The 21,499-nt window shown below is 34.2% G+C and overlaps 1 protein-coding gene across 5 annotated transcripts in view; it reads right to left on the bottom strand.

Annotated features, from left to right (window-relative positions):
• TRHDE (thyrotropin releasing hormone degrading enzyme) overlaps window positions 1–21,499 on the bottom strand; it is a 583,493-nt gene that overhangs the window by 97,662 nt on the left and 464,332 nt on the right. For all 5 annotated transcript variants that reach the window (XM_017019244.2, NM_013381.3, XM_017019243.3 and 2 more), the window contains 3 exons: window positions 10,867–10,932; window positions 10,057–10,244; window positions 4,441–4,529 (listed from right to left, as the gene is read on the bottom strand). In XM_017019244.2, coding sequence (XP_016874733.1) covers window positions 4,441–4,529; window positions 10,057–10,244; window positions 10,867–10,932 — 343 coding nt within the window. The remainder of the gene's footprint in view (window positions 1–4,440; window positions 4,530–10,056; window positions 10,245–10,866; window positions 10,933–21,499) is intronic.

Raw genomic sequence — 21,499 nt, 5'->3', positions numbered from 1 at the left:
GTATACTAAGATTTTTATAACACAAAATATTTAAAATCTACTTGAATTCACTTGAGCTAAGTTGATAAATTTTATCTAAGAAGTGTTATTTTTTTCAAAAAGTTATAATGTTAAAGCACCAAGTTTAATATATAAACACATACTTTGGATTTTTACAAGTTTGAAATGGTCATGCATTCCTGTAACAGTAACTATATTTTTAAAGTTATTTCCTGTTCACATTTTAGATAACTAGAATAACTTAGCCCCATTTGATTTGCTTGAATCTAGTTTTTAAACTTAATTTCAACAACTTATAGATATGATATAGTCAAATTTAAGTTAATATGTATATTAAAATAGGAAAATAATTGCTGTACCTTCTACACCATCTGACCAGAATAAGAAAGACAGGCCTCTATTGTTCTTAAGTATGTCATTATTAAATGTACTACTAAAACCTGAAGGTTATTACTGTTCATGAATATTTTTATGCCTTTGTTACAAACGAGATCGCTGGAGAAATGATTCCCTGAAAATTTTTGTAATAGATTTTTAACTATCTTTTCAGTTCTAGTTAATTATATCCCTAAAATGTTCTTCAAATTAAATGATGGCAAGCAATGAATTTTAAAGAGATCTTTTCCAATGGCCTAATGAGGTATGGTATTTGATGAGTACCATAATAAAATGTATGGAAGTTATATCTTGATGCTGGCAATAATAATTAAAAAATATATTTAGAATGTATCCAAAATGGCACAAGGCTTAGACTATTGAGGTACGGAGTAGTTGGTATTTTATAAGATTTTATATTTTTTACTTTCTGTTGGAATAAAAAGGGAAAAGAGATTAGGTATCTCTATGCAATATTTGCCGGTTGCAAAGAATTGGAATTTAAAAATTTTTTAAAAAGGTCAACCAGAGTAAAAATGTGAGACAAACTCAGGGAAAATAATACATACTGGTCTTCTCACTCGAATTTTGTGAAAATCAAATGAGGATATTTTGTAAAACCTATAAAGAATCCTGTGCATATCAAAGACATCATATTAAATAACTGACAGATCCGTAAAGCAATCTACCATAGCAATAAATCGTGTGTGTGTGTGTGTGTGTGTGTGTGTGTGTGTGTGTGTGTGTTTGCAGAGTCAGGGGAACGGTAGGAAGCAAAGGAAGCCAACTTTCTAAAGCCACCTCTTTACGTAATCAACTGATATTTTGGACAAATTACTTCTCAAGCCTTAATTTCCTCATTTGTAAAATGGGGACAAAATAATGCACATTTGAAAGGTTGTGAATCTCAAATAAACCAGTGCTTCAAGAAAGCACTACTGCATTATGCTACTTTTCATGTTTGCTTTAATTTTCAGGATCAATTTCTCTTCTATTTTAATATTTTCTTTCCTAACATTTGGCATTACATTTATTCCTCTCCATGAACCGTTAATTGAATAGCCAGTCAACATGCAAGCTACTACATTTACAAATGTCTGAATTTTTGGTATTTGCATAATAAGAATGAAAAAGATAAACACTTCAACCTGTTTTCTAAAACTGAAAAATTGGTTTAAAAATTATTTTTAGGCTAAAATGATCTATGCTTTACCTTGGCATTAATTAAATATTTATCCAAAGTACTTTCAAAAATTGAACTGACAAGAATATAGGACGATCCAAATCTAATTTGTACTTTATATTATCCACCACTGACTGCCTTAATATCATGTAGATAAAATCTGCATCACTAAGGACAATGAAAAACTACAAAAACATTGACCTGATTGTTATAATTAAATATGGAACTGTTTTACATATGTTTAAAAGAATTTAACAGAATTTTTTCTTCATGTTTTTGTGGAAAAACAGTTTTCATTGTGATTTAGTTGACAATATCTTGAAAAAGAGGAGATGGGACAACACACAAAAGGAAACAAAAATTAACAATCTTTTATCTTTTTTTCCTAATTTTTGTTTGCTGTTAAATTTTTATTAGTCATCAGAACGAAGGACTTCATAAAAAAAATTTAATACAATTAAACTGGAACTGAAAAGGCAAAACAGGAAAGTGCTCAGTCCTTTAGATGCCTCTTGTAAACTTTGCAGATTTTTGTATTTACAAAATTTTCAGGAAACATTATCTTCGTATGGGCAATCTGCAAAAGTTTTAACATTCTAAATGTGGCAATGTTATATCAAACAGAAGATAGTGCTATGAATGTGTCCTTTTTCATTAAAATGTCCAAGTCGCACCTTACACAACTTTGGGGTGAGGGCCTGTGCCATTCATATCACCGCCTGTGCAAATAGCGCCTCCTACAGTTATCTACTGCGCAAACGCTGCAGCTGTATATTAGGACCACACATATCAAGATAGGTGATATTTTAGGCAAACATATGGTTTGAACCAATACATTGTTTTATTCTTGAATAATAATGAAAGACTGTAAAGGAAAGCAATCCCTCAAACATAACCCGTGGCTATTGGTCAAGGAAAGCTGGTATACTACTCTTTTTTTTTTTTTTTTTTTTTTTTTTTGAGACAGTCTCTCTCTCTCACTCAGGCTGGAGTGCCATAGCGCGATCTCGGCTCACTGCAACCTCCGCCTACTGGGTTCAAGCGATTCTCCTGCCTCAGTCTACCGAGTAGCTGGGATTATAGGTGCCCACCACCATGCCCAGCTAATTTCTGTATTTTTAGTAGAGATGGAGTTTCATCATGTTGGCCAGGCTGGTCTCAAACTCCTGATCTCAAGTGATCCACCTGCCTCAGCCTCCCAAAGTGCTGGGATTACAGGCATGAGCCACAGCGCCCAGCCTGGGATACTATTCTTGATATTCTGTGAGAGATAAAAATACATCATGCATAACAGCATGGAAATAACTAAGAAGTTAGAAGAAATGGACCCGGAAAGGTATCCACCAGAATTACTCATCCTGAATCCTTGCACTATCTAAAAGTGAAGTTTTGGGCTAATCCCCATGTTTGATCAGTATCTTTACCCTCTTCTAATTTTCCCATTTCCATTCTACCTTCCAAAGAAAAATATTCTACCTTATTTCTGAAGATAGTTCTATCACACCTCACAGGAATCCTATAGAGCGATGACTTCTTTCTAATTTGATCATTATAACAACTCACTGCTCTCCCTCATCATTTCACAAACAACTTATGTAGACAAACAACTACATGACAGGAAAAGACAAATACAAAATCAAATAATACAGGAAGTGTGAATTCAGAATCACAATATAAATACTAATTCCAGTAATTGAAAGAATAGATTATAATAAACAATTTAAAAGGAAAAAAACACCAACAAATTTTAAAGTATTTCAATGCATTGCTACATTACTTATCAATGCTTCATATACAGCGTATATAAATAAAAGCATATGTTTTCGTCGTATGTCTTTATGTGTTAGAAATACAATAACCTGAAAATGTATGTAAACATCTGCATGGAACTGTAAGTGTTCGTACTGCTGACAACCAGATTAGATTTTACTGTAACAACGTTTTCTTGCATGTATACATATATGTATTTTGAGCATGTAAACCTCCCTTATAATAGCAAGGCTGAGGAGAAGAAACTGTGTTTGTTTATTTATTTATACCTCACCCTATTTCAAATAAAAAATATGTGGCTTTTTAAACTAAGGCTTATGAGAGAGCAAAATAACATCAATTAACAGCATCTGAGGAAGGAGTAAGAAAAACAATATCTGGGCACACTTGACTATCTAAATCTAAATGAAATGTTACATAAAAGATGATAATTGGCTTTTTCTCTAACTCAGTGGAAAACAGAAATAAAAGGGACCTGTTTCACACTGTAGAATGAAGGCTATAGTTTGGATTCAAGAAATAGCTTTCTGACAGTAAATTGAAATAGGTCACTATCTTATTTGAAGATATTTAGAAAGAGAATAGAATCTCATCTCTCTCTGCTCCTTGAGGTTTGACCCCACCTAAGAGATGGCTTGCTAACCTGTCCAAGCCCCCCACCTTCTGGCCCTGTAATTATATAATTCCATGGAGAATATTGCCTCTCTCACCTTTTAAAGAGACAGTCTGGTAAAGAGAAGATAGGAAAGTGTAAAAATGAGACCTGTGTTTTCAGTATTTGGCACACTCTTCTCTTTGAGGTTATAATTATATTTTAATTACATGTGGAGTTATAAAGAAATACAATTTTAAACACCTAAGATTAGTATTACACTTATTTTTAAGTTTTCTCTTTACCATTAAAGAAACAAATAATTTAGTAATTATATAAACTGAAATTAGACTATTTAGAAACTATACTATATCTAATTTTATAGGGTTGATAATCATTCCTTTATATTCTCTTTCTAATTTGTCTTTATTCACATTTTATAACAGCTGAAACCAGAGGTTAAGTTGCTAAACAATTATCTGAAACCAGATACTTCCTCAGGGGAGAATATATAGTTTACCTGATTTGTTAGACACCCAAATAATTGCTTCTGAAGACACATGGCTTCTATTTCCTACCACAATAGTTAATGGAATCTGCCACAGGTAACTGCAAAATAAAAGACAAGCTTTAAGAATAAAAATAACTATATCGAAACAAAAACAAAAAACATTTCCCATGCGCCTTCTGTGTGATTTTTATTACTCTCATTAGGTGAACTAAAAAAAAATAATTCCGGTCACAAAAGTAAGGCATAGGTCAAAAAGATGAATTCACTCTTTCAATGCCATTAAGAAGACTTGGCCTTTAAGAATTTTAATTGCAATGCAAAGAGAACTGCCAACAAAACCATTTTTCTTGGGGGAAAAAAGATTCGCATTTTGAATTTGAAATAGAAAGTACCTAATATCTATACACCTGAGCCATATTGATTAAAGTCTAAACATAACTTCTTTCTACTTGTTTTTATGTTAGATTAAGACACATTTCAGTGGCTTCATGCATTTACATTTTAATATTCTCCTTATTTATTATCTAATGACTCTGTAGGACACTATTAATGTACTTTACAGAAAAGTTAATATGACGTATCTAAAGTTACTCAGCAGAAAGAAAAAAAAACTAGTCAGATTCCCATACAATCCAGATCAATAGAAAGAATATTGTGGGACACACTTAATGCTCTGTTTTGTGAAATGGAATTTCTAGCTTGATGTGTCAAAGCATCCACCAACGTGCAGGGACCAATCATGAAACTCAACTATTAAAAAGAAGCATTTTGTAACATTTACCTTTTTATAGGATAAAAATTGAGGCCTATACTTATACATGCAGTAATGTCAGTTTAATCTCAAATGAATAGCCAGAGATATGCTGGATGGTCTTACAATAAGTCCAATGACTATATTTGTTTCCTTCTTGAAATATAGCCAGATTATTTCAATCTATCATTTCACCGTTATCAATAGGGTAGCCAACAATTCCAGTATGGAAAAAATATTTTTCTGTTTTAGAAATGTAAGACAAGATATTGCGTGATCTCAATAACTGTGAGAATAAATAAAGAATTAAAAAATGTTCGGGAAACATGCCTGGGGATAATAAACATTATAATGAATATGTCTTTTGGGGAGTGAGAGAGAAGGGCATTTCCTATGACTCTGTCGTGTGAAATTTGACTATTTTATTATTCCATGTTTTGCATTCACAATAAACAGAATTCAGTAATAGTAAAGAGTCCAAATGGAAGGTTGGAAGAAATTCATAATTTTATACCAATCCTATCTCCAGTATGGAAAATCAAAATAATATGTTTACAGTTCTTAATTTTAAAACTATATCCTATACTTAATGAAAAAAAAACATTTTGGAGGGCAAACTATGTGGAGATACTATGCTATACTAATAAGGACTCCATACAATCGGTCTGGTAATAAAACAATTTATAATAGCAAAATCTATATTGACTCTTTAGACAGTAGTTCATGAACAACAACTCATGTAAACTCTTTAACAAATACTTCCAAGCTTTCAATATAGGTTTAAAAATATGCCCCAGATATTTAATGACAGATTTGAGGAAGAGACAAAGAACTGATCTATTTCATTAACAGTTGTTCTCTAAAAATATTGGGTCTCTCTTGGTTAATTGGAATACTTAGTTAAGAGACCATGATGCCCAACTATGAGTCTGATTCTCAAATTAAATGATAAGCTCATTTTTGTGTACCTAGATCTTGAAAAAGCCTGAAAATAGAAGGCATTTCTACTCTAAATCATAAATTACTATTGAATCTGATTGAATGCACTTGGAATAAAATGAAATAAAAGGCATAAAACCCATCTATAGGTAAGACAGATTAACTTCATAAACTTGACTTTAGTACATATCTTCCATATTGAGTTGGTTCAGCTAAATTGTGAAGCCAAATAAGTACTGGTTAAAAGGCAAAGAATATAGAAAATTGAGGACATTTAAAAATTCTCAAGGACAAATGTGTCTTTTTTGTAGCATGATCATAAAATGTTTGTGAATCATTGCCCCTAATATAAACATAATTTCCATGTATTTAAATTATTTATTCTAAACAACTAGAGATTATGATAAAAGTTGGTTTGTTTCTATATTTGGGTTTTAGAAAAAAATATCTAAAATACAAGAAAACGATTCACATAAATACATGCATGTCAATACCACATACATACAGCACTTCCTAAATGTCAGGCATTGTATCACACAGCTGTTCAGATACAAGTTAACTATAAGGTTAACTAAGTTAAACTATAAACCTTATAGTTATAACTATAAGGTTTGGGGATACAAACTTTGAGGCATTTTTTAAAACTTAAAAAAAAAATTTATTATTTCCTAAGAATAATTTTTCTCTACTCTATGTGTGTTTCTGTGTATGCACACACATAACGAAAATCTACATATAGTAACAAAGACAAATTAAAAGTTCCAAGTTACCAAGCATATTTGAAATTTGTATTTATTTTTGAAATACCGTACTGTTAATACATTTCATAACTTTCAAAATATCATATATGTGGACTTTTCATAAATTTCATTTTAAAATCAAGGAAAGCCTGATAATTATGCTGCTTTGTGATTATAACTTAAAAGACTAGAAGACCCTAAACATAGTTTAGTGAAAAGCCCTCTATGTTGTAAAGAAATCCAAGACTGCAATGGATTATGTTTAAAAAGATATTAGAAAAAATAACTTAGGAAATTAGATTGTGTTCCAGCTGTTTCGGTTTAACTTGAATTTTCATCACGTTATTTTAAGCATTAAAAAAAGACCCATCAAGATATTTTTTTCTTTAACAGTTCCTGGGACTGCCTCTCTTATCAGTCGTTTTCATTGTTATAATAAAGCAACTTTTATTCTAATGATTATATTAAGGTAGTAAAGAATGGGTGCATATAAACCTGAATGAGACATCTTTTTATAAAATAGCATCAATATTAATGAAGCATTTGTCCAGACTTTGTGAAAAACTGTTCAGATGTCACTGTCATCAGGGCATTAAGAGAAGGAAAGTATGACTGTGGAGGTTAGTAAAATTCTCTGCAGCAAAGAACGCTGAGAAGCTCCTCAGTGTATAGGGAATCATTACTTTACATTGCAATGCATTAACTGTATAATGAAAAAGGCTACGCAAATTCACAACTTCCCAAGTACCAAAATTCTAGAATATATTTTATACTCCGTTACACATCAGCTAACTTTATGTGACTATTCAGTTATGTAAAGATCTTTCCTTTCTATGTTGTAATACAACTATTACATATAAAAATATAATTACTGGATTCTCTTAAAATGTTCTAGGCATATTGCAGTGATGTTCTAGTATTTCTTAGAAAAATGAAAAGACAAATAATTGATTTTCCTGGCTCAGAAAATATACAGATTTCACAGGATTTCTGGAATAGATCGGTAGTTGGTTTTACTCCATCAACTGTTTGCATTGTAAAATAAAGATCTAGGAAGGCTATATACATAGGCCAGAGAGAATCGTATTGAAGCTTTGACCAGGATGTTATAGTGAATTAAATGATCAATAATATGAAATTGTAATAATAAATTTTCAGCTACAAGCTCTATAATTGCAAAATGAATAGAAAGTCAGTCATTTTTGAGACTAATAGGATGTCCTGCATTATCTTACTCTTAATATTTTATATGCCAAGTTCTCAGAGTTCAAAATCATACATATGGCTCACGCCTGTAATCCCAGCACTTTGGGAGGCCGAGGCGGGTGGGTCACGAGGTCAGGAGATCGAGAGGATCCTGGCTAACACGGTGAAACCCTGTCTCCACTGAAAATACAAAAAATTAGCCGGGTGTGGCGGCGGGCCCTTTAGTCCCAGCTACTCCGGAGGCTGAGGCAGGAGAATGGGGTGAACCTGGGAGGCGGAGCTTGCAGTGAGCCGAGATCGCGTCACTGCACTCCAGCCTGGGAGACAGAGCAAGACTCCGTCTCAAAAAAAAAAAAAAAAAAAAAAAAAAAAAAAATTCATACGCATGATTTTATAATTCCAGAAGACAAACCGACAAAGCTGTCTAGATGTTACATATGCTTATACAGCCTTGGAGAAATTCTTCCTTTAAAGAATCAGACTCCTGGCTGGTACATCTGATGTATGTTATAGGTTGACAGAATATTTTTGTTCAAAATTTGTTCTGTCATCTGCGTGTCCTTTATGTTTTTCTGCATCAGTGATGCTTGTGTCACACTGATCATTCTCAAAGGCCTGGCCCGAATCTCTCTAACTTGGCCACAGTCAAGTAGTTTTTATGTACTTCCTGGCAAGGCCAGAGTTGATGCCTACGCTTGTGCTTGTTTTGCCTGGGGCCAGACATCAGAAGATTAGAAACAGCACTTGGCAGATGTGGGAAATCCAGGCTCGGGGAAGAAGCATTGACAGAGTCAGCCCCTAAAGGTGGTGAGAGTGTGGCAGGGTACTAGCACAATCCATGAGTCTACACAGTTGGATTTCAAAGGGTAGCATGTTGAAGGTAAATATAGACTGTATATGGAGAGAGAGATAGAAGACACTGCTTTCCTAAATCGGATTCCAAATGTAGTCACCAGAAACATTCATGAATTTCTCAGTCACTTAGATTGAGTGACTGGCTGGTCTTGGAGCCAGCCTACAGGAGAACAATTTCCATTCTTCTTAGAGATGACAAAGCAAACTTAATGTCTGTTCCAGATCTCCTAGACATGGGTGAATGATAAAGTCAGACTCCTAATTTTCCAAGGTAATGGGAGACAGCATGAGTAACCCAATCCAAACATCTCATTGCGTTTATCAATTTTAACTTCTCTCCCTCTTTCTGTAGCTCCCATCCCCCACCCCCGCCCCCAGCCCTCACTGGAACGAAAGTCTTACTAGGGCATCTTAAATGAAATGAAATGGAATGATTTAAGTTTTAATATCTTTCTTTGGCTCAGACTTTAATCAGACACAAAATAGAAAACATAAAGTAGAAAAGAAAGAAAAATGCTATTTGCTGAGTTATCAGTAATTAAATGAGTTTCAGCAGAAAGTTAAAGAAACAACAAATAAAGATTCTGTGTATGCTGTCTGTTTATTGATTTTAAACACTAAAAATAAGAAAGAGAAAATATGTTGATACTAAGTGGCATTAATCATTAGATCATTTTAAGGTATCGTTTTAAATTCCTTTGACTCAGACATTATTTAATTTGATTTTTGTTTTAGTTTTTCTGCATTATGAGTTTCTGTTCTCACTTGTTTTATAAATCTCACAGTTTGCTCAATTCCTTTTAATTCACAGCAACACATTTTAACTTCTTGCATTTAATTCAAGAAACATTCATGGGGAAAAGTGAAAAATAACATTTTATTTTTTTAACCACCATGATTATTTAAAATTCTGTCTTCCTAAACAAATAACTTTGGTGTTTTTTCAGCTTGAAGGTTCAGATATCCAGGAAATGGGAGTAAAAGGAGAATCAAAGTAACTTGTGTAAATAAAGAAACAAAAACTATATTTCACTTACAATATTTCAGAATTTTGTTATTAATGCTCTTTGAAATATTAAACCTACAAATGTAAGAATAAAAACAATATTTTTCACGTAAAAAAGAATGTCATACCTGTTATTCTGAAGTTTAAGTGCTTTAGTTTTAGCACTGATATCATAGATAAAATGCTGTTGGGTAATTATTATTCTATTTTCTGCTGTTGTGTTTCCCAAGATGGTGATAACAGGATAACCCATCTGGAGTGTCCACTGATCCATTACTTCTTGTATATTTACATATTTCCCATTTCTTTTTAAAGCCTTCACAAGGAAAAATGTACAAATTAGTTTTATAAACATGAATTATCAACATTATTAACATTAAGACATTTTTATTTCTATTTTTACTATTTACCTAAATATGAAAACATTTAAAGTCATTGAAGCCAATATAATGTGTTAGTGAAATTAATCTTCTTGCCCTAAGTTAAGCTTCATAAATGTATATAAAAATGAAAGTTGTATTAACATTAAAGTTTTTACATAACATAAAATAAATGTTATTATTAAAGCAAATCCCTGAAGCATCAGTAATTATTCCCATCATGTCTAGTGTCACATTTAAATATCTGACCTATAGAAAAAATTATTTAAAACTTCAATTTTTTTTTAACATGAATATCTTACACCATGTTAAACTTATATTTCAGAAGTATTGTCATGTTTGAAAGTAGGTGAGGTATCATTTACTACCATTTGTAGTTTAGTTTTAAACCCCTTTATTTTACAATATATTATATAAAACAAAAAATCAATATGAACAAATGAAAAATGTAAAAAGTAAAAACAAACTATCAGGTGTCAATAAAGGCTATGAATGTCTTATAAATGCAATTCAAATATTCAAGTAGAGGTTTTGATATTTAAGCTTCCTATACTTTACCTCCGATAATGTATTCCAGAGATCATTTCTGGCTGCATTACCATACTTATGAATGGTTAAATAATCCTACAAGAATATAAAATTGTAATTGTAATTCAAAGGTTAAACAGTAACTAGTAAACACATTTATTTCTCAATTAATAATTTTCATTTGTTGGAATTATATTAATAAAAAAGGACATAAAAAAGATAAATAATCTCATTTAAAAATATTCCAAAGAGATTTAACTATAGAATATTTCCTAATTAAGTCGTCGAACAATATTAATCTCTTAAAAATCATTTTCATAACTATAATAACTTCTTACAGATATTCAGAGTCAAAGATCTTTCTCTAATTGAGCAAGTCAACCTCAGTCAATTCTGAAAACACTACCTCTTCAATGAAATATTTAGAGAAACTTTCCCATCAGGCTTTTGCGTTAAAGTGTTGAAAAAGAAATATTTTATGAAAAAAAGAAAGAGCTAATATATGCTGATGTTAAGAGGGATTGCTTTGCCAAAAGAATACTCTCTTCACAATCTGTCTCCATTTCAATGGTCTCTCTGCAAAGGAAAGGCTGCCTATTACAATAATGATAAATACTTATTTCCATGGATTTGAAACACACATTAATATTTGATAAGAAAAAGTCATTCCTGAGTTTATTTAACATTTTGGGCCTTAGGACTTGCCATTTTTAATGTTTAGTTATTAGTGGTAAAACCTATACACTTTCTATCCGATTCACACTTTGTTCTCCTCTAAGAAGCATGGTTTGTCTCATCAATGTGCTATTTAGTTATGGCTGGTTTGCATTATTTTTTCTGATTTCAAAACAGAAATATGAATATGAAAATAGTGTTATATTGTAAAAGTCCCTCCTCGTTCATTTGAAATTCCATTATCTCTGCAACATATATATAGTAGACAAAATCCTAAATTATATCAAAGTACTGAAAAGAAAAATGCTGACTCCTTCAGTACTTTTATGGAGTTGGCTACTCTGGGGATAATTAAACTTGGGGGAAGCAAAGTTTCTGAAATACAAATTGTAACACCTGTGACAGGTTCAGCTTTTGTTGGCAACTCACAGCACAGCAAATGGCAACTCCCACTTAATCAGATGCCTAGAGATGCAATGTCCAACACTAACTTAGCAACCACAAATTCATCATTGCCATCAGGTGTTATGAATAACTTTGTTAAAAAACATAACCCTGAATAACCATTCTGAATCCTAATTTGGCTTTGAACATTCCATATGAGGTTTTTCAACATGAACCCAGAGACCAGGATTTAACTATTTCAGATTTAACTTTCAAAATTATTCTTTATGCTTTTTTGCACTTAAATGAATAAATTTGGGAATAAGATTTACAAAATATAAATGTGCATTTTATTTTATTTTTTAATTTTTTATTTGAGACAAGATCTCACTCTGTCACTCAGGCTGGAGTGTAGTAGTATGATCACGGCTCACTGCAGCCTTTACCTCCCAGGCTCAAGTGATCCTCCTTCCTCAGCCTCCTCAGTAGCTAGGACTGCAGGTGCACACACCACCACATCCAGCTGTTTTTTTTTAATTTTTTGTAGCAACAGGATTCCATTATGTGGCCCATGCTGGCCTTGAGCTCCTGGGCTCGAGCTAGTCTCCCTCCATGGCCTGCCAAAGGGTTGCGATTACAGGCCTTAGCCACCAGGCCTAACTTGCATTTTATTTTAGTGATGTAATAATAAAAGGTGCTAATATTAGAACTCTTTACTCTTAGGTTCTGTTTATGGGTAGTGCTGCTAGGCTAATTCAGCAAAGTGGAAATAAAGGAATACTATAAAATCCAATATACAATTTTCTTCTCAAAGATCATAAAAGTCTAACTATTCATAATATGAGTTGACCTTGTCCTAGTATCATCAGTTTGAACTATTTCTTCCCTCCTCAGTTTAGAGAAAGGTTCAAGTTTCCACTTCAAGCAGGCTGAAATGAAAATTATCCAGACATAAGCAATTTCCAACTTGCCTGTCTCTGTATTCAGGGAAGATAACATATCTTCTTGAACTCTCAGTAACCCTAATATTCAGACGTTATTGGAATTTTACATGTGCCAACTTTTTTTAAAGTTTCCCTTTTTTAAAAGAGAAAGCTTGCATAAACTTACAGCTTGAATTAAGAAAATTCTGCAGAATTATAAAGAAACTTAAAGGATAATGAGTGCGTTTCAATAATCAGTCATCTATTTTTTTTCATTAATTCCACAAAATTTATGGAGCACTTAGTGTGTTCAGGTAACTTTCTAGTACAGGGGAAACAATGGTGAAGAAAAGGTTACTGAGAACAACTACAAATACTGAGATGTGATTTGTGTAGGGAGATTTCCATGACTGAAGCTATAGAAGTCTTGGTATAATAACCACTTGGCAAGATGAAATCACATTTAGTATCTCATTGAATAAAAATATTTTAAGTTCTTTTCAAACCTCTAAGTCAGTGAATATGAAAGTCCTTAGAGATATAAATCTGAAATGGAAATCTAAGTTTACATTTATGTGTATAAAAGTCAGTCTTCAGCAGATTTGACATTATGATATAAAATAGAAGAATGTTTTAATATTAACTTAAAAAGAATTGTGGTTTCTCTATACTAGGTATTTCAGAAATAATAGAGTTATTGTAAGGAATCAAATAAAGATAATCACCAGAATATTCTTAAGAGACATACCAAATAATATAGACTGATTAAAAGTTAAAACTCTATTTAACAAGAATATATTACATCTGCCTATGGAGAGAGGTATCATAGCATAGTGGTTTAAAATGCAGTAACAAGAGCCTGCCTTGGTTCAAACACAAGGTCCAACATTCACTAGCTATATGAGCTTTAGAAAGCTGTTTAACTCTTTGTGCCTATCTTCACATATATAACAATGGGGATAATAAAATAACTACTGTATATATTTTTTCTGAGAATTGAATGATTCAATATACAGTGTTAAAAGAATGAATAGTGCCTAGCACATCATAAATATTCAGTGGGCATTCTCTCTGGTAATCTTTTTAATAATCTCAGGCTATAGGTTGGAAAACTGAGTAACTGAGAAGGAAATGCATCATTATCAATAATAATGAAAGAGCACAGCACATGAAAACCGTAATATTTGTCTCCTTTTTAACACTGTGCGAGTTGCCTTATATTTTATCTCATTCAATCCACACAACACATTAGAGGTAGACATTATTATCATCATTTAAGAAATCAGAACATTGGAACTCAGAGTCTTCAGCCTACATCCAAACCCCATGCCTGTGCCTACCCAAATCCAATATCCAAGATATCCAAGCCACATAGATAACTGAGTCCTATTAGCCACATAGATAACTGAGTCCTATTAAAAACTGAACTCATTATCCTCCCCTATATTGGCTCCTTTTGGTGGCCCTTCTCCAGTGAAGACCTTCTCATCCACCTCTAGCAAAGGGTTATCTTGATGCCTTGATCACCCTTTCCACCATATTCAATTAATAATCCATGACCTAAATATACTCCAAGATTCCCACTTTCCCTTACCTGTTTGTCTACTCTACAGAATCTTACATGGGTGATGACAGCTGCCCTTGCTTCTGATTTGTCCCTTTCACATCTAGTCTCTCCCACAAAGCCAGAATATTTTTGATCAAATACACACATAAATCCCTGCTATGTTCAGAATATAGTCCAAACTCCTTAATATAACCTAAAAATGGCCCTCATAATCTTGTCCCTCTGTATTTCTCAAATCCCATTTGTTAACTTGTTGCTCCCTGCATTAATTTAGCCACTTTCAGCTTTCTGAAGATGCCTAATGGATATTTTATCTCATTTCTGGTTCTCTGCACATGCAATTCTCTACATATTCTTTTCTCCTTTGCCTACCTCAATTCAATTCAATTTCCAGGACTCAATTTTGATGCATTTCCTCCAGGAATCATTCCCCATCCACTTCAACCTCCTTCCTAAGTTAAATATCTCTTTTATATTGTCACACAATGTTCTATATAATAGCATTTATCCCACTGTGTCATAGGTGCCTGTTTATTAGTTTGACTGTTCACACAGCCTGTAAAATCCGTGAGAGTAATGATCCTGCCAGTCTTGTTTACCACTATTTAACCAACATCTTTGTGCCCAGTCTGGTACACAATAGGTGCTTTCTCTCTCTCTCTCTCTCTCCTCTCTCTCCCTGTCCTCTCTCTCCATATATATGTATTTAAAATGCAGTAATAAGAGCATGTATGTGTGTGTGTGTGTGTGTGATTTGTCTTTCTTTTTGCAATATTTGTTTCTGTTGATAACTGACAATGCAGTAAGCATAGATTACTTATATCTGTCAGGATCCCCCAAAATATCATATTTAAATATTAATACAGGACATAATTCATTATTTCAGTATATACTTGTCAGGCATATAACTTGAATGGATATATGCGATTGCATATAATGTCACCAAAAATTGTGAATGATTACATACGAGACCATTTTTGTTTTATTTCATTTGCTAACAAGTGATGTGCTTCATAACATGTCATGTGTAAAAGCCAACAGGACTAATAAAGACAAGGGGAAAAGTAAAGAGTGAGTTAAGGAAGTAAAGCACTATTATCTTTTAAGATTTACATGGAAATAATTATGGAATAATTGCTTTCCTATTAATGAGTCTTTTAGCATGCTAGGATAGAGGATTAACCACATAAATGGTTTACTCCTTGAGACATAAAGGGATGATTCCATAAAAACCATATGGATTCATTTACATGTGTTTAGCTGCAAGTAATAAACATCCACCCTAGAATGACTTTTAAAATAGGAGTATTTATTCTTTCCTATCATAAGTAGGTAGGACAGAGCTGCAGCCACTTTCTTCTGGAATTATTTTGGTCCCACCCCATCTATGATTTGGCTTCTCAGGTTCATGGCTAGATGGCAGCAGCAATCCCAAGCATCATATTCAGATGTGACATTGTACAGAGGAAAGATACAGAATTTCTTCCTGAGAACCTCCTTTAAGGAATCAGGAAAACTTCCCCTCAAATTCTGCAGCAAATTTCCCACATTTGTCATCTGTCAACATTGCACCATGTGCTCTAGCAAGAATCTGTTACTGCATCTTAAGGAGGCATTGTTTGAACTTTACCCAAGGAAAGACATAGTCCTCTAAAGAATATGGCTGTTTATAACAGGGTGAGAACTTAAAAGAAAAAAATCAGAATTCAGCTAATAAAAAAGAGAGGACAACTAGGTATAGGGAGACCACCACCAATAGTGCTTTCTCCAGTGAGACAGGGTACAGCAGCCTGGGACTCATTGACACTGGGAAGTAGGATGTCCTATAGTTGTAAGACTAGTCTGGAAATGCTAGGTAAATTCAAGCACTGATTTTTCTGAAGATGTGACAAGAAGGCTGAAGCAAGAGTTTGAAATATTGTTGCTTTCTATCAAGAATAATTGTACCTCAAAAAAATTTGTAGTGTGCATTTGTCATTTTTTTGGCTTTCCAGCATTTAAATACCAGTTTTATACGGGGGCAATCACTCACAATGGAATCTGGGAAGAAGGCAAAATCTCTGCCTCCCTCTACTGAAATGGAAGGGACAAAATACTAAATATTCCCTCTCCACTTTGCCTGGCAGCTAAAGCCTGGGCATGTGCTCTGGCCTCAGACAAGGGGATGCTTCGTCCTAGGACTATGAATCCTAAAAGAGTAGTGCCTGTCATGGTGACACTGAGGGTCCTGTGGTAGCCACTCTAATGGGAACAGCTAAACCTTCACTCCTGTGGCATAACCTTGGCTACATCTCTTGATTTCTGAGTCTACTTTAGTTCTTATTCTATTTTGTAAGCCTGGTTCTTCATCCTTCCCAATGATTCAATGGGCTACCTATATCCTTCAGATAATTTCCTTTCTGCCTGATTTAACCAGAATTTGTTTCTGTTGCTTGCATAATACAACCCTAATGGGTTAAGCAAAATGAAGGAAGACACTTCTACATTATCTTGGCAACCCGTAGTAAGAAATTAAACTATTGCCTACAACTTATACAAAATAAAAACTAAAGAACACTAAATTCTATTTAGTACATCAGTTAGGCTTTTGTTGTTCTTATGAACAGTAGATATGGCGTGAAAGACATGTATATTTAATTTTTATGTTTTAAAAGCAGACAAGAATGTTGGAGAGAAAGATTAAAACTGAAATAAAGTGCAGAAGGTTCTATAGACTGGGGGGCAGACAGAGTGACAACAACAAAAACATTTTAAAAAGCAACAGTTTTTGTCTTAAACAAAGCTTCCAAAGCAGGGGCTTTTGAACTGAGAACCGTAAGTTCTGAGCTTATACATTTGTAAGTATGTGCATTATTAGAGTAAGATGATCTTAAAGGGATCCATAAACAACAACAAAAGTAGACTAAAAGTATCAGATCACAGCAAAGTCACACAAGAGTTGAATAAAACCCATTTGAAGCCTGGCCCATGCACTTCAGAGGATGTTTTCACATTCCCTAACCTTGAGAAACAGGAGCAAGGAGACTACAACAGTGACAGATGACCAACTTAAACAAAGAAAGCTAGACTATAGACCAAGGTGTCTATGTGGATTCATACCTAGAAATTGATGGAAATTTTAAGATTAAGTAAAAATGAGTAACAAATCCCTAAGAAAGCTTTATGCAAAGATTAAAAAATAATGTTTATATTTTAATTCTATTAGATAAGAGTCAAAGATGAAAAGGTATAATTATTGAAACCTTTATTATTAAATTATATTAGGTTTCCAAGACATAACTCCAGTATAATAAGAACCATTACTAAACTTTTTGAGGTATAGCAGTTCAAGCCACTGGACATGAAAAGAAAGAAAGAGATGACAGATTTAGGAAAGAAAGCTATTGGAGAGATAGAAGAAGGATAGTTGAAAGTCAGTTTTCATGGTTTGTATACCATTCTGACTGAATTTGTAAATGTGTTTACCCTAAATTTACCTTTAGAAGTGGCTTGCTTAGATATGGGAGTATTCAGATAGTTTGCTAGGAACAAAAAAGGCATTTTACATGTTATACAAATCCATTACTCCACCCAATCAATGTAAATTTTGTAAGAATAAGTATATTTTTATAAGTGGCTGCTAAATGTAGTAGAACATCACAACATTGTAAATCAAAACAACCTGCCAGCTCATGAAAGTTTTTCTTGCTTGTTTGCTTTAAATTACAGACAATGGCATCTTCTCACATCACTTTTGTTTTCAAATATCTCCTATGTTGTAATTATAGATCATACCACCAATTCCTCAACATGCAGGCACATGACCAGAGTTACAATATTTCCACTGTAGGATTTGTATGCCATTCCAGAACAAGGTGACAGGGTCCTACACCTGTCAGTGAAATAATGTAAGTGTCATAGTCTATAGAGGAGTTCTGGGGTTCTAAAATATTTCTACCTCTCACTTTTGCTGCTGGTATGAAATATTACTGAGACATAAAGTGAATCTATTGGTAAAAATGAAATTTGTGAATTGCTTTTTCTGAATATCCTGATCAAGGGCTTTGATCACCATTCACTCCCAAAATAGATAAATTACATCCTGGCTGGTAAAAATGGACTGCTTCTTGTAAATCAAGTTGCCCACTGATTGCAGGCATGTACACAGAGTTCCCTCTCCCACCTCTTCGCTCTCTCAGCCCCGGTGCTGGTGACAACTTGGGAAGAAATGTAATTTAGTTGAGAAAGAAGATATATATAAACTAGGTATAGTTATTAACCCATGCTGATTCCTACCAGTCATGTGATCTTGGATAAAGTATCTATTTTCTCTAAACCTTAATTTCTTCAACTGAAAAATGTACATAATGTAGTGCTTACCTGATAAGGGTATGCAGAGAAAATGATATAAAACAAATAAACGACTTAGAAAAATACCAGCCACATAAAGAATCCAAGAAACTTCAGTTATTTTAATAGCAAGATAAATGGGAAAAAAAGGGCTGGTGTCAAAAGTCTTCTTCAATCTTCCCTCCAAGAGAAGCCAAAATGTTCTAGAAACACTATAAGAAAATTATATGGACTTGGCCGGGAGCGGTGGCTCACTCCTGTAATCCTGGCACTTTGGGAGGCCGAAGCGCATGAATCACCTGAGGTCAGGAGTTCGAGACCAGCCTGGCCAACGTGGTGAAACCCCATCTCTACTAAAAATACAAAAATTAGCCAGGTGAGGTGGCAGCCACCTGTAATCCCAGCTACTCAGGAGGCTGAGGCAGGAGATGGCTTGAACCCAGGAGGCAGAAGTTGCAGTGCGTTGAGGTTGTACCATTGTACTCCAGCCTGGGTGACAAGAGCGAAACTCCAAATAAAAAAAAAAAAAAAAAGAAGGAAAAGAAAAGAACAGAGAAGAGGAGAGGAGAGGAGACGAAAGGAAAGGAAAGAAAAGAAAATTATATGTACTAACCTGAAGGAGGAAATTGCCTGGGTGGGGTGGGGGGTGTGGTGGAGCGGTAGAAAAAGAAAAGAAAAATTAAGAACAAAGCTTCCTTTAGGCTTCTGGAAAGCTGCTTAGAAGACTTCCTTCCAAATACAGGAAAGTAATGGGTTTTGGACAGTTCTTCCAAGTTGTGGGGTCTAGCAGCCTGTCTTTCACTGAGCTCTACTGAGATGACAAGACCCCTGATGGGCAGTTCATGGAATGGGCACACTAATTCGACTCAGCACAAAAGAGACTTACCCAAGCTGGCACTAATGCAATAAAGACACTAATCTTACTGTTATTATTATTAATGGTGGGTTATTTGTCTATCAGATTCTTCCTGTCTTCTCTTCCCTGAGTATCCAGATTAGATTTCATAGATCATCTTAATCAAATCCTAGAAAAAAGCCTCATCTTTTTTGTTGTACTGTCCTTCAATTATAGTAGCTTGGCAAAAATCCCAATCCTGGAGGAATCCAAGTATTTATCTTCTCTAAACCTGTAATCATACAGCTGAATATCACAGAAGAAAATCATGCCATTGAAAAGCTGAGCTTATGATAAATTCATAATCACCAAATACAAATAGAAACTCAAAACTGTCAGAAAGTACCTTTCTACTCTTTGAATTCTCTATTTTCAAATTTCTCCACTTCCCACTCTCATCTCACTTTCATTCAGCTACTGACCTTCTCTCAAAAAACACTGAAAAAATATAAATCATCAGAAAGGATTTCTCTGATTTCCCCATTGCCAGCTTTCCAAATTTACTGGAGATAAGTCTCCTATTAAAGACAAGTGCCTCACCTTCTCAATGAGCAAGGTCCTGGAGTTATTTCTCACTTCTCCAACATTATCATCTCCTTTCTCTGCCAGCTTAAAACCATTACAGCTCCCTCTAATCTTTAAAAATAAAACAAAAATCTTCCTTAGCCTTTATCCCCCTCTAACAACTGACCCTGTTTTTCTTATCTCCTTCCTTGAAAAATTTGTTTAATTTTATTCTACATACTCTGTTTCCATTTCCACATTCCCATTCACTCTTTAACCTACTCCACTGAAATCAATGAATTTACAGGCTACCAAAAGGAACAGTTTACAGTCGTTACCCTTCTCCACCTTGTTACTCCATTTAACATTGTTGGCCACTTTCTTGTTCTTGAAACAAGCTCTTCTCTAAGCATTTGTGACACGATTCCCTTGGTACTCTGCCTGCCTCTCTAGCTGTTCCATCTCAGTCACCTCCATGGGCTCCTCCTTTTCTCTTAACCTCCAGTTGTTACAGTTGTTCAAGGCGTGTTTCCAGGTCCTCATCCCAGAAACCTCAGAATCATTCTTGATTACATTCTCTTCCTCATCTCGCATACCACTCTCTTCACCGAATTTATCCCTAGGCCCATTGTATTCGACCATTAAAAAACATTTCAGATCCATCTATGTCTCTATTTCTATGAACCATTTAAGCCTTGATAATCTCTTACCTGAATATAAAAATATCCTCCTCACTTTTTTTGCCCAATCCCTTTCTTGGTATGCTGACTGCCCCAATCCCAGGGTATTATTACAATTAGCCAGAGAACTGTTCTGTATGTAAATAGAGCCATGTCATATCCAGTTTAAAACCGTTTAATACAGCACTTGGAATAATATGGAATCTTCTTAGCACAGACTATTGGGCAATGCATGGTTGGCTGCTGCTCACCTCACCTACCTCTTGTTCTTACTAACTCTACTCATCCACCAGTTTCTTTCTTTTCCTAAAACATGCTCAGTTCTTGTCTTAACCCTTTGTAGGGCTCCTCCCTCTTCTTGGAATCTCCCTGACCCCCGTCTTTCTTCCTTCAGACCTCAGCATACCTACCGTCTTCTCAAGAAGGATTCCCTAAACACCCGATCTAGAGTTGCTCCAACCACCCACTCACTATGCTTTCTCACAGCATCCTATTTTTTGCTTCCTAGCATTTTTTTCACATTGAGCAAAAAAATATATTTATTTGTTTTTTCCTATCTATCGTGTGTCCCCTTTATCCTGTTACATGATACATGAGAACAGGGACCATATCCGCTGTGTATTCAGGACCATGCCCTGAATACTTGGTACTTATCATGATGTCTGACATAGACTAGATGCATAATAAATACATGTGGAATAAATGA

This window comes from Homo sapiens, chromosome 12, assembly GCF_000001405.40.
Source record: "Homo sapiens chromosome 12, GRCh38.p14 Primary Assembly".
NCBI classification, from domain to species: domain Eukaryota; kingdom Metazoa; phylum Chordata; class Mammalia; order Primates; family Hominidae; genus Homo; species Homo sapiens.
The sequence above is the reverse complement of the archived record's forward strand: the minus strand, read 5'-3'. Positions and strand labels throughout refer to the sequence as shown.